The 12,780-nt window shown below is 47.4% G+C and overlaps 1 long non-coding RNA gene across 4 annotated transcripts in view; it reads right to left on the reverse strand.

Annotated features, from left to right (window-relative positions):
* Window positions 1–12,561, reverse strand: part of LOC105372284 (uncharacterized) — a 40,186-nt gene extending 27,625 nt beyond the window's left edge. For 3 of the 4 annotated variants that reach the window (XR_001754028.1, XR_001754029.1, XR_936344.3), the window contains exons 1-4: window positions 12,451–12,561; window positions 5,343–5,406; window positions 2,537–2,600; window positions 678–839 (exon numbers count right to left, since the gene is read on the reverse strand). This is a non-coding gene — a long non-coding RNA (uncharacterized LOC105372284). Of the gene's footprint in view, window positions 1–677; window positions 840–1,157; window positions 1,455–2,536; window positions 2,601–5,342; window positions 5,407–12,450 lie in introns of those variants that run through there. The other variant, XR_936341.2, reaches the window with a different exon arrangement.
* Between the last annotated feature and the right edge of the window lie 219 nt (window positions 12,562–12,780).

Here is a 12,780-nt window from a genome sequence, read left to right on the forward strand (position 1 = left end):
AACGTGGCAAAACCCCGTCTCTACTAAAAATACAAAAATTAGCTGGGCCTGGTGGCAGGCGCCTGTAATCCCAGCTACTCGGGAGGCTGAGGCAGGAGAATTGCTTGAACCCGGGAGGCGGAGGTTGTGGTGATCCGAGATCGCACCACTGCACTCCAGACTAGGTGACAGAGCAAGACGCTGTCTGAAAAAAAAAAAAAAAAGGGCTGGGCACGGTGGCTTACACATGTAATCCCAGCACTTTGGGAGGCCGAGGTGGGTGGATCACCTGAGGTCAGGAGTTCAAGACCAGCCTGACCAACCTAGTGAAACCCCGTCTCTACAAAGTACAAAAAATTAGCCAGGCGTGGTGGCCCATGCCTGTAATCCCAGCTACTTGGAGGCTGAGGCAGGAGAATTGGTTGAACCGTGGAGGCAGAGGTTGCAGTGAGCCAAGATCGCACCAGTGTACTCCAGCCTGGGCGACAGAGCGAGACCCTGTCTCAAAAAAAAGAAAAGAAAAGAAGCCACCTAGTCTATCGCCTGTGTTTTGATTATTTCAAGCACGGACTCTGAGTATCAAAACATCCTCCTCCTGAGAGCCTAATGAAGGAAACAGAGGAAGATTTGAGAGTCTCAGGAACAACTTGGTTGCCACTTAGACGTTAACCCCAGATGCTCCCCATTTCCAACGATACCTGCAAGCGTGTTTTCAACAACATCGTGGAGTCCAGATTAAAGAGCTGTTTTCCTCCTCAAAAAGTAGAGACTCCTTCAAGATTTGCATGAGCCATTTAGGAGCCAGGGAACCTTGGGATAGATGTGAATCTTGGAATGTGGGTTGTTAGAATATTTTAAAGCTGGTGAGAAAAAAATTGAAGTAAAACAAGGATGTCCAGGCAGAGGCATCTGCAAGACAAATTAGCACCATCACCACCACCCCGCCCCCCTCCCCAACCCAGTCAACAAACAGGACAAGTAACACTTCTCTGCCCTCGTGGGAACAGATTGAGTGGAAGGAGTTGATGGGTGGGGAGGTGACGTTGCCAAAATCCCGAAATAGAGCTGTTCAAAACACCCTTTCACAGCATGTCAGACAAATGCCGGAGTGATTAAATGTTGAGTGGAGACTTTGAGAAGCTGAAAGAGGAGGGCAGAAACTAGGCATGAAAACATACTCCTTTCATCTCCTTCCAAATCTGGGTCAGCACTCAACTGCGGCATCAGGACACTTTCTCAGCATCTGAGAAGCAACATCACCTAATCCAAGTCTGTCAGGGCGCCAAAATACTCTGGCTTCCGGTGATTAGCTGATTTGTGCAGTATGCATTCATGGAGTGCTTATGTTCCAAGCTCTGGAAAACACAGTAGCTTCTCCCAGTTCCTGCCATCGGGAGCTTGTAGTCCAGCAAGGGAAATGGGGAAGTAGTGATAATATGCTTGGTTGAATTTTTTTTTTTTTTTGAGACAGGGTCTTGCTGTGTTGCCCAGGCTGGAGTGCAGTGGTGCAATCACGGCTCACAGCAGCCTCAAACTCCTGGGCTCAAGAGATCCTCCCACCTCAGCCTCCCGAGTAGCTGGGGTTACAGGCACTGCTTGAATTATTGTTCCAGTTTTTTCAATCCTCTGTAGATCCACACTCTGTGTGCCGTGGGACTTTGCTGTTATTCTCACCAAAAGCAGAACCCTTGCCTCTTGACTTTGGGCTGTTTGGGCTGTGGGACCAGCTTTGCTCAACAGGTAACCAGTTCCAAGCATCCCTCAAGAAGCCTCCCATGTCTCCACTTGGCTTATCTCTGTCATCATCATGAGGGAAGCTTCCTCCCAAGAATGATTATTCCTTTGGCCGAGGCCTCAGAATGAATACATGCCAGCCAGGCACAGTGGCTCACGCCTGTAATCCCAGCACTTTTGGAGGCCAAGGTGGGCGGATCGCCTGAGGTCAGGAGTGTCAGACCAGCCTGGCCAACATGGAGAAACCCCATCTCTACAAAAAAAAAAAAAAAAAAAAAGTCGGGCGTGGTGGCAGGTGCCTGTAATCCCAGCTACTCAGGAGGCTGAGGCGGGAGAACCACTTGAATCCAGGAGGCAGAGGTTGCAGTCAGCCGAGATCACACCACCGCACTCCAGCCTGGGCAGCAGAGTGAGACTATGTCTGAAAAAAAAAAAAAGAATGAATACATGCAGAATTGATCTAAACCCAACCTGCAGAGAGAGGCCAAAGCATGCATCAAAGCTGTCCAGCTGGTCCCCACCCACATCAGCCAAGTCCTCAGACATGTGGGCAAAAATAAATGATTGCTACTTTTGGAATAGCCATCACAATAGCCCATATGCTGGGCTGTCAAGCAAGTCTCAACAAATTTTGTAGAACTGAGATCCTACAAAGTATGAGCACAGTGGAATTAAACTAGAAGTCAACAACAAAAAAGATAACTAGAAATTTACAATTGTTTGGAAATTTAACCACACATCCCTAAATAACTCCTAAGTCAGAGAAAAAAAAAATCACAGTGGAAATAAGAAAATATTTTGAACTGAATGCTAATGAACATACCTGAAAAAATGCTGTGGGATGCAGCTAAAGCAGTGCTGAGAGGAAAAGGCATAGCTTTGAATGCCTGTATGAAAAACGAAAAAAAGCTTAAGGTATTGTTATTTCAAGATACTGAGTTTTGGGGTCTCTTTTCTTGTGCAGCAATAGCTGACTGCTATGATAAGTAGCATTTATACTGCATTCATTATGTGGCAGACCCAAGTAAACAGAACCACACAGGTTATGTGAATGGCCAGTAAGGAGTAAAGTCAGAATTCAAATCCAGATTGGCTCTGGCATTAGGCTCTCAGCACTGTGCTATACTTCTCCTAGAGGAGAAACCTAACAATCACGACATTGTGATAAATGCTATTAATTCATAGAAGTGGGTGGACCTAACTCGGAGGATTGGAAAACACTTCCAGAAAGAAGTGATGCTTGACCTGACAGTTAAGAGAAAGTGAAGGCTGTTGAAAAGGTTATGCAGAGGCCCATGGGCATGAACGACATAGCCCATAGTTCAGTGTGGCTGGCCCATACAGTGAGCATGACTTGTGTCAAAAAATGAGAATGAAGATGTAGTCCAGATCTGATTCAAGCCTGTCTAAAGAGGGAGATGATCTGATTAGATTTGCACCTCAGGAAGATCCATCTGTAGTATGTGGAGGATTGGAAGAGAGATATGATGCAAAAATTCCAGTTAAGAGGCCATGAAAGGGCCGGGCACTGTGGCTCACACCTATAATACTAGCACTTTCGAGGGTTGAGGCAGGCAGACCACTTGAGGTCAGGAGTTTGAGACAAGCCTGGCCAACATGGTGAAACCCCAACTCTACTAAAAATACAGAAAAAACTAGCCGGGCGTGGTGGCGGGTGCCTGTAATCCCAGCACTTTGGGAGGCCAAGGCGGGTGGATCACGAGGTCAGGAGATTGAGACCATCCTGGCTAACACGGTGAAACCCCGTCGCTACTAAAAATACAAAAAAAAATAGCCGGGCATGATGGCGGGCGCCTGTAGTCCCAGCTACTCGGAAGGGTGAGGCAGGAGAATGGTGTGAACCCGGGAGGCAGAGCTTGCAGTGAGCTGAGATCACGCCAGTGCACTCCAGCCTGGGCAACAGAGCGAGACTCCGTCTCAAAAAAAAAAAAATACAAAAATTATCTGGGTGTGGTGGTGCACACTTGTAGTCCCAGCTACTTGGGAGGCTGAGGCAGGAGAATTGCTTGAACCTGAGAGGCAGAGGTTGCAGTGAGGTGAGATCGTGCCACTGCACTCCAGCCTGGGCAACAAAGTGAGACCTTGTCTCAAAAAAAAAAAAAAAAAAAAAAAGAGGCCATGAAAGCATTGATAAAGACTCTCTTTTTCTTTCTTTCTTTTTTTTTGGGAAACAAGGTCTCACTCTGTCACCCAGGCTAGAGTGCAGCAGTGATCACAGCGCTCACTGTAACCTCGACCACCAGAGCTGAAGCGATCCTCTTGGCTCAGCCTCTTGAGTAGCTGGGACCACAGGCATGCACTACTATGCCCGCCTAATTTTTTTATTTTTATTTTTATTTTTGGTAGAGATGGGGGTCTCTCTATTTTTCCCAGGCTGGTCTTGAACTCCTAGGGCTCAAGCAAGCTTCACACTAGCCTCCCCAAGTGCTAGGACTGCAGGCATGAGCCACCCATGACTCCTCTTTTCAACTAGGCATCATTCTTGGATCCTGTCCTTAGCCTGCTTCTGTCAGTCTTGGCAAAGAATCCTGCTAAATTATACCCCAATCCTTAATATTTTATCACCCTGGCCAGCCTTCAGCAAGAATCCTTAAGTTAGCATCTTAATCCATTTGGGCTACTCTAACAAAATAACATAGATTGAGTGGCTTAAAAGCAACAGAAATTCATTTCCCACAATTCTAGTGGCTGGGAAGTCCAAGAGCAAGGCACCAGCGCATTCAGTGCCTGCTGAGAATCTGCTTCTTGGTTCATAGATGACCATTTTTTCATTGTGCCCCCACATGGTGGAAGGGTTGAGGGACCTCTCTGGGATCTGTTTGATAGAGGCATTAATCCCATTCCTGAGGGCTCCAGTCCCATAACTTTATCACCTCCCAAAGGCCCTGCCTCCAACACCATCACATTGAGGATTAGGTTTCAATACATGAATTTGGGCCTGGCACAGTAGCTCACGCCTGTAATCTCAGCATTTTGGGAGGCCACGGCAGGTGGATCACCTGAGGTCAAGAGTCCAAGACCAGCCTGGCCAACATGGCAAAAACCTGTCTCTACTAAAACTACAAAAATTAGCTAGGCGTGGTGACATGGGCCTGTAATTCCAGCTACTTGGGAGGCTGAGGCAGGAGAATCACTTGAACCCGGAAAGCGGAAGTTGCAGTAAGCTGAGAATCATGCCACTGCACTCCAGCCTGGGCAACAGGGCGAGACTCCATAAAATTAAAAAAAAAAAAACCAAAAACATGAATTTGAAGGAGACACAAACATTGTCTACAACAATGGTTTGGCAAGAATCCCCCTATCTGCCGAGTGCAGTGGCTCATGCCTGTAATCCCAACACTTTAGGAGGGAAAAGCAGGAAGATTGCTGGAGGCCAGGAGTTCAAGAGCAGCCTGGGCAACATAGTAAGACCCTGTCTCTATTAAAAATAAAAAAGAATCCCCCTATGCTTGATGTTTCCTCTTAGTCATTTTTCACCCACTAAACCCTTCACTCTGCTCATCGGCTGTAAATGCCAATCTGTCTTTGCTGTTTTGGAAACTGAGCTCATTTCTCTGCTGAAGTCTCTTTTCCCCTATTACAATAGTACCGAATAAAACTGTCTTTACCACTTTTAACCGGTGTCCAGCTCTGTCTCTTCGACAGCATCCAGATGAGTCACAAAGACCTGAACTAAAGCATTAGCAGTTAGGATCCATCAAGCATTTCTTTAGGATTTATTGTTTTAAGTCCTCAGATTTTGTCTAAGGCAATGGGAATGTAGCAAGCAGTAAACACAACAGGCAAAAATCCCTGCCCTGGGCCGGGTGAGGTGGCTAACGCCTGTAGAAGTGGCAGAAGTTCCATGCACCCAGACTGCCTCCCACCTCAAGTATCAGCCACAGCAACTCATTTTTCTGCCTCGGAGCTTTTTTGCAGCTATTGAAGGCTGTCTGCGTGCAGATGCTGCCAGAAGTTAGGAAGAGATAAAGCCCCGAGGAGGTAACGCTCAACCAGTGCAGAGTCAATAAATGAATGTGTCACTCCCCACCCTCATCCGCTTGGGGGACTATTCTGACTTTTTTTCTGCACCATTTACTTGCAGGAGTAGCTCAATAATGCACTCTTCATTGGCTTTTCCTCCTAACCTGTCTGCCTCTTCCAATATCCCTGTTACTGCTTCCTGAAACCATTTTCCAAATAAACTATCAGAAAAGCAAAATGAAGACGCAATCGAAGAGAACACTTGGGGCTGGGCGCAGTGGCTCACGCCTGTAATCCCAGCACTTTGGGAGGCCGAGGCAGGCAGATCACAAGGTCAGGAGTTCAAGACCAGCCTGGCCAACATGGTGAAATCCCATCTCTACTAAAAATACAAAAATTAGCCAGGCATGGTGGTGCACGCTTGTAATCCTAGCTACTCAGGAGGCTGAGGCAGGAGAATTGCTTGAACCCAGGAGGCGGAGGTTGCAGTGAGCCAAGATCACACCACTGCACTCCAGCCTGGGGGACAGGGCGAAACTCCATCTCAGAAAAAGGAAAAAAAAAAAAAGAGAACACTTGGAAAGACCAGGAGTGGACATGATGTCAAATAAAAGCAGACAGCCCAAGAATAACAGAGTGAAACAGAGGCGGAGGAAAAAAAGAATTGAGACTTAGGGGAAAGCCATTTCCCATCGTTAACTACTTTCAGGGCAAAAGGAGAAGTAATTGGAGAAGTGATTGGTTTAGTGATTTTTCTAAAAATAGTTTCTGTGTTAATTAAAATTTACAGAGAAAGCAAATCAATGTGTTCCCCTTTATCTCTGCCTAATTTCTGTCCTCCCAACTCATGAGTGGGGCTATTGAAGACATTAAAGAGAACAAAGTTGCTAAGGACATGAAAACCCATGGGAAAACATCCTTACATGAGTGAATGCCTAGAGAGCCAGCCAGTCCCACCTGTATCCATTCTAAGGCAAAGACTAAACATACAATTTATCCTCTAAAAAAATCCAGGTGGGATCAGGTGTGGTGGCTCACGCCTGTAATCCCAACACTTTGGGAGACCAAGGTGGGGAGGATTACTTGAGGCCAGGAGTTCAAGGCCAGCCTGGGCAGCATAGCAAGACCTCATCTCTACAAAAAATAAAAATAATTAGCCGGACATGGTGGTACACACCTGAAGTCCCGGCTGTTCGGGAGGCTGAGGCAGAAGAATTGCTTGAACCCGGGAGGTGGAGGTTGCAGTGAGCCGAGATTGTGCCACTGCACTTCCAGCCTGGGCAACAGAGCAAAACTCTGTCTCAAAAATAAATAAATAAAAGGCTCCTCTTGAGGCAACGCCTAAAACCTAGATGTAATGACGGAGCTCTTGTGCCCTCCCGTGGGCATCATGCCTCAGATCGGGAGAGCAGCTCTAAGCGCTCTCTGGGGAGAAGCTTGTCAGACACAAGCATGCATCTGTCAATGGAATTCCAGGCACCGAGGCCAACATTAGCATGCAAGCGAAATGCTGAAGGATGTTATGCTAAATGCAAAAGCCAGGCACAGAAAGACCAATTCCACATGCTCTCACTCCTCTATGAGATCTAAAAAAGTTGAACTCAAAGATGCAGAGAGAAGAATGATGATTACCAGGGGCTGAATGGGGAGTGGTGGGAAGTGGAGAGATTTTTGTCTAAGAGTGTAAGTTGCAGTTAGACAGGAGGAATACTTTTTTTCTTTCTGCAAGTTATGGTGTACATGAGAAATGTTTTACATGTATATAATGCATAGTGATTAAATCAGGGTATTTAGGGTATCCATCACCTAAGTCTCTCACTGTCATGCAGGCTGGAGTGCAGTGGTGCGATCTGGGCTCACTGCAACCTCCGCCTCCCAGGTTCAAGCAATTCTAATGCCTCAGCCTCCCAAGTAGCTGGGACTACAAGCACGTGCCACCACACCTGGCTAATTTTTGTATTTTTACTCGTGACAGGTATTTTTAGTAGCGACAGGGTTTCACCATGTTGGCCGGGCTGGTTTCCAACTCCTGACCTCAAGTGATCCGCCCCTCCGGCCTCCCAAAGTGCTGGGGTTACAGGCGTGAGCCACCGTGTCTGGCTGAGAAGGAATACTTTTTTTATTTGTGCAAATTATGGTGTACTGAGACATTTTTTATGTGTATATAATGCATAGTGATTAAATCAGGGTATTTAGGGTATCCAGGGTATCTGTCACCTAAGTACAATACATTTTTTTAAGTATAGTCATTCTACTCTGCTATCAAACATGGAATATGGCCGGGCACCGTGGATCGTGCCTGTAACCATAGCAGGCAAGGATTACTTTGCCTTTCACCTTTGGGAAGCCAAAGCATAAAAATTACTTGAGTCCAGGAGTTCGAGACCAGCCTAGACAACACAGCCGACAACCTTTTTTATTTTTTTGAGACGGAGTCTCACTCTGTCGCCCAGGCTGGAGTGCGGTGGCACTATCTCAGCTCACTGCAGCCTCCGCCTCCCAAGTTCAAGCAATTCCCCAGCCTCAGCCTCCTGAGTAGTTGAGATTACAGGCATGTACCACCACACCCAGCTAATTTTTGTATTTTTGGTACAGATAGGGTTTCACCATGTTGGCCAGGCTGGTCTCGAACTCCTGACCTCAGGTGATCCACCCGCCTCGGCCTCCCAAAGTGCTAGGATTACAGACGTGAGCCACCACGCCCAGCCTTCTTTTTTCCCTCTTCTATCAAATGAAACTACCTTAAGTGCAAGGGCAAGTGATTCCATCCTGGTAGCCTTACCATCTGGTCTAATGCCTGACACAAAATAAATGACCATCCATGAACAAATCGATGAGCGATTCAATTAATTGTTTACCCAGCTCAGGCCTAAATGGGAAGAGGAGGAAAGCAAAGTAGAATAATATGAGGGCACAGCAAAGGATGCCCCTACAAAACCATGCGTAGAACACCTCCCCAGAAACCCCCATACTATAGGGGTTCTGGCTATGGCCTTCAACACAAGTTTACCAACAACAGGTTTCCTTTGGGGATAATGAAAATATTCTGAAACTAAATAGAGGTGGTTAGCCGCCTGTGATCTCAGCTACTTGGGAGGCCAAGGCGGGAGGATCACTGGAGCCCAAGAATTTGAGATCAGCCTAGGCACCATAGTGAGAACTTGTCTCATTTTGTGTGTGTGTGTGTGGTTTTTTGTTTTTAAATGTTGTGGCGGTTGCATAACATTGCAAATGTACTGCCACTGAACTGTTCTTTTTAAACTTTTTCTTTTTTTTTGAGATGGAGTTTTGCTCTTCTTGCCCAGTCCTGCCTCAGCCTCCCAAGTAGCTGGGATTACAGGCACCCGCCACTACGCCCAGCTAATTTTTTGTATTTTTAGTAGAGACAGGGTTTCACCATATTGGCCAGGCTGGTCTCGAACTCCTGACCTCAGGTGATCCGCCCACCTCAGCCTCCCACAGTGCTGAGATTACAGGCGTGAGCCACCGCGCCCAACCTAAAACTTAATTTTATGTTTTGTGAATTTCAGTTCAACTTTGTTTGTTTATTGAGACAGAGTCTCTCTCTGTCACCCAGGCTGGAGTGCAGTAGCATGATCTCGGCTCACAACAGCCTCAAACTCCTGGGCCCAAGCCATCCTCCCACCTCAGCCTCCCGAGCAGCCAGGATTACAGGCACGCACCTCCACTCCCAGCTAATATTTTGTATTTTTTTGTAGAGACGAGGTCTCACTGTGTTTTCCAGGCTGGTATCGAACTCCTAGTCTCAGGTGATCCTACCGCCTTGGCCTCCCAAAGTGTTGAAATTACAGAAAACAGCCACCCTGCCTGGCTCAATTTAAAAAAGAAAAAAACTGATATACAAATTTGAAAAGTTTTGCTAAAAAGGAAAAACAAAGGCTCCCTCTGGCTGCAGTGTGGAGAATAGACTGCCCCATGAGGCGAAGTGGATTGTGATGGTCATGAGGAAGCTGGAGGGTGTACCTCAGTTCTCGAACTTCAGTTATTATACTTTCCTTAGTTCTATGACTTATGAAATATTTCTCAGCCGGGCGTGGTGGCTCAAGCCTGTAATCCCAGCACTTTGGGAGGCCGAGGCAGGTGGATCATGAGGTCAGGAGTTCGAGACTATCCTGGCCAACATGGTGAAACCCCATCTCTACTAAAAATACAAAAATTAGCTGGGCATGGTGGCACACACCTATAGTCCCAGCTACTCGGGAGGCTGAGGCAGGGGAATCGCTTGAACCTGGGAGGGGGAGGTTGCAGTGAGCCGAGATCACGCCACTGCACCCCAGCCTGGCAACAGAGCTAGACTCTGTCTCAAAAAAAAAAAAAAAAGAAATATTTCTCTCCTTTTTTTGAGAAAAGATCTCACTCTGCCACCCAGGCTGGAGTGCAGTGGTGCAATCATAGTTCACTGCAGCCTCTACCTCCCAGGCTCAAGTGATCCTCCTGCCTCAGCCTCCCAAGTTGCTGGGACCACAGTTGTGTGCCCTCACGCCTGGCTAATTTTTTTTTTTTTTTCAGAGACAGGGTTTCGCTATGTTGCCCAGGCTGGTCTCATACGCCTGGGCTCGAGCGATCCTCCCCCCTTGGCCTCCCAAAGTGTTGAGATTACAGGCATGAGCCACCCTGCCCTGTCCTATTTATGAAATATTTCTTGAGGGACATAGAATATTTGGTCTCAGTGCCAGCAGGCCTGCTGAATTTCCCGAGTCTTGGGAAATGCCAAGAAATAAAGGTACTATCACCAGGCAAGCTGGAGTGGTGAGCGACTTGATAGTCTCAGAATGATATCGCCAGCTGTTGGAAATCTTGTAGAACTGGCTAACACCCACTGAACAGTTGCTACGTACCAAGCACTGCATTAATGCACTTAATCCTGACAATAGCCCTGTGGGCTGATGGGCCAGGGTTTTGTTTTTGTTCTTGTTGTTGTTTTGAGATGGAGTCTCGCTCTCTCACCCAGGCTGGAGTGCAACGGTGTGATCTCAGCTCACTGCAGCCTCCACCTCCCAGGTTCAAGCAATTCTCCTTCTTCAGTCTCTGGAGTAGCTGGGATTACAGGCATGCACTACCACCCCCGGCTAATTTTTGTATTTTTAGTAGAAATGGGGTTTCACCATGTTGACCAGGCTGGTCTCGAACTCCTGACCTCAGGTGATCCGCCCGCCTTGGCCTCCCAAAGTGCTGGGATGACAGGCGTGAGCCACCGTGCCCGGCCTAATGGGCTGTTTTATCACCGCCTCACTGTAGCAGTCCCTCTGGTGCCGCAAGTCCCCTCTCTGCATCTGCAGGAGACAGTTCCCTGTGAGACCTGACTTACTTGTCCCACCTCAAGCCTGGACCACACATCTTTTGGCTTTCTTCAGCCTTCTCCAACCCCTCAAGGCAGCCCAAAAGTTTGGGGCTAAAGACCCCAGGGTGAGCTGGACATGGTAGCCCATGACTGTAATCCCAGCATTTTAGGAGGCTGAGGTGGGAGGATCACTTGAGCCCAGGGGTTCAAGACCAGCCTGGGTAACATAGGGAGACCTTGTCTCTACTAAAAATAAAAATTTTTAAAAAGTCAGGCGTGGTAGCATGCACCTGTAGTCCCAGCTACTCAGGGGCCGAGGTGGAAGATCAAGGCTGGAGTGAGCTATGATCACACCACTGCATTTCACCCTGTACAACAGAGTGAGACCCTGTCTCTAAAAAAGAAAAAAGACTTCAGGCTGTAATTGATCACAGTGAACATCAGCACATCGTATCACATGTCCCCTAATAGGCTATACTCAAAAGGACGCATCATTTCTGTGGAATTCCTGCCAGAAATGCATAACCTCATAGGCAGAGTAGTCAAATTCACAGTGACAAAAAGGTGCTTTCCAGGGACTGCGAGGAAGCAGGGAATAGGAAATTATTGCTCAATGGGTACAGAGTTTCAGCTTGGAAAGATGCAAACATCCTGGAGAAGGATAGCGGTGCTGGTTACACAACAATGTGATGTACTTAGTATCACTGAACTGTTCACTTACAAATTGTTAAGATGGGCTGGAGGCGATGGTTCATGCCTGTAATCCCAGTGCTCTAGGAGGCCAAGACTTTTTGAGGACAGGAGTTTGAGACCGCCATGGGCAACCCCATCTCCCAATAGCGAGACCCCATCTCCAAAAAAAATTAAGATGGTACATTTTATATTGTGTATATTTTGCCACAGTTAGAAAGAGAAAGAATTGTTTGGCCAGGTGTGGTGGCTCATACCTGTAATCCCAGCACTTTGGGAGGCCAAGGCAGGCAGATCACCTGAGGTCAAGAGATCGAGACCATCCTGGCTAACACGGTGAAACCCCGTCTCTACTAAAGATACAAAAAATTAGTCGGGTGTGGTGCCGTGTGCCTGTTGTCCCAGCTACTCGGGAGGCTGAGGCAGGAGAATCGCTTGAACCCAGGAGGCAGAGGTTGCAGTGAGCCGAGATCATGCCACTGCACTCCAGCCTGGGCAACAGAGCGAGACTCTGCCTCAAGAAAAAAAAAAAAATAGCCAGGCATGGTGGCATATGCCTGTAATCCCAGCTACTACGGAGGCTGAGGCATGAGAATTCCTTGAACCCAGAAGGCGGAGGTTGCAGTGAGCCAAGACCTAAGACAATCCCATGTAACAAATGAGGAGATGAGGCCCTGTATTAGTCCATTCTCACATTGCTATAAAGAAATACTTAAGACTAGGTAATTTATAAAGAAAAAAGGTTTCACTGGCTCTTTTACCTGCGGTACAGCCATGGTTCCATAGCCCGTACAGGGAGCATGATGCTGGCATCTGCTCGGCTTCTAGGAAGGCCTCAGGAAACTTAGAATCATGGCAGAAGGGGAAGGGGAAGCAGGTACGTCTTACATGGACAGAGAAGAAGAGAGAATGAGGCAGGAGGTGCTACACACTTCCAAACAGCCAGATCTCATGATAACCCACACACTATGTAGCACTGGAAGGATGGTACTAAACCATGAGACTGCCACCCCCATGATCTGATCACCTCCCACCAGGACCCACCTCCAACACTGGGGACTACACTCTGACATAAGATTTGGAGGGGACAC

Source organism: Homo sapiens, chromosome 19, assembly GCF_000001405.40.
Source record: "Homo sapiens chromosome 19, GRCh38.p14 Primary Assembly".
NCBI lineage: Eukaryota > Metazoa > Chordata > Mammalia > Primates > Hominidae > Homo > Homo sapiens.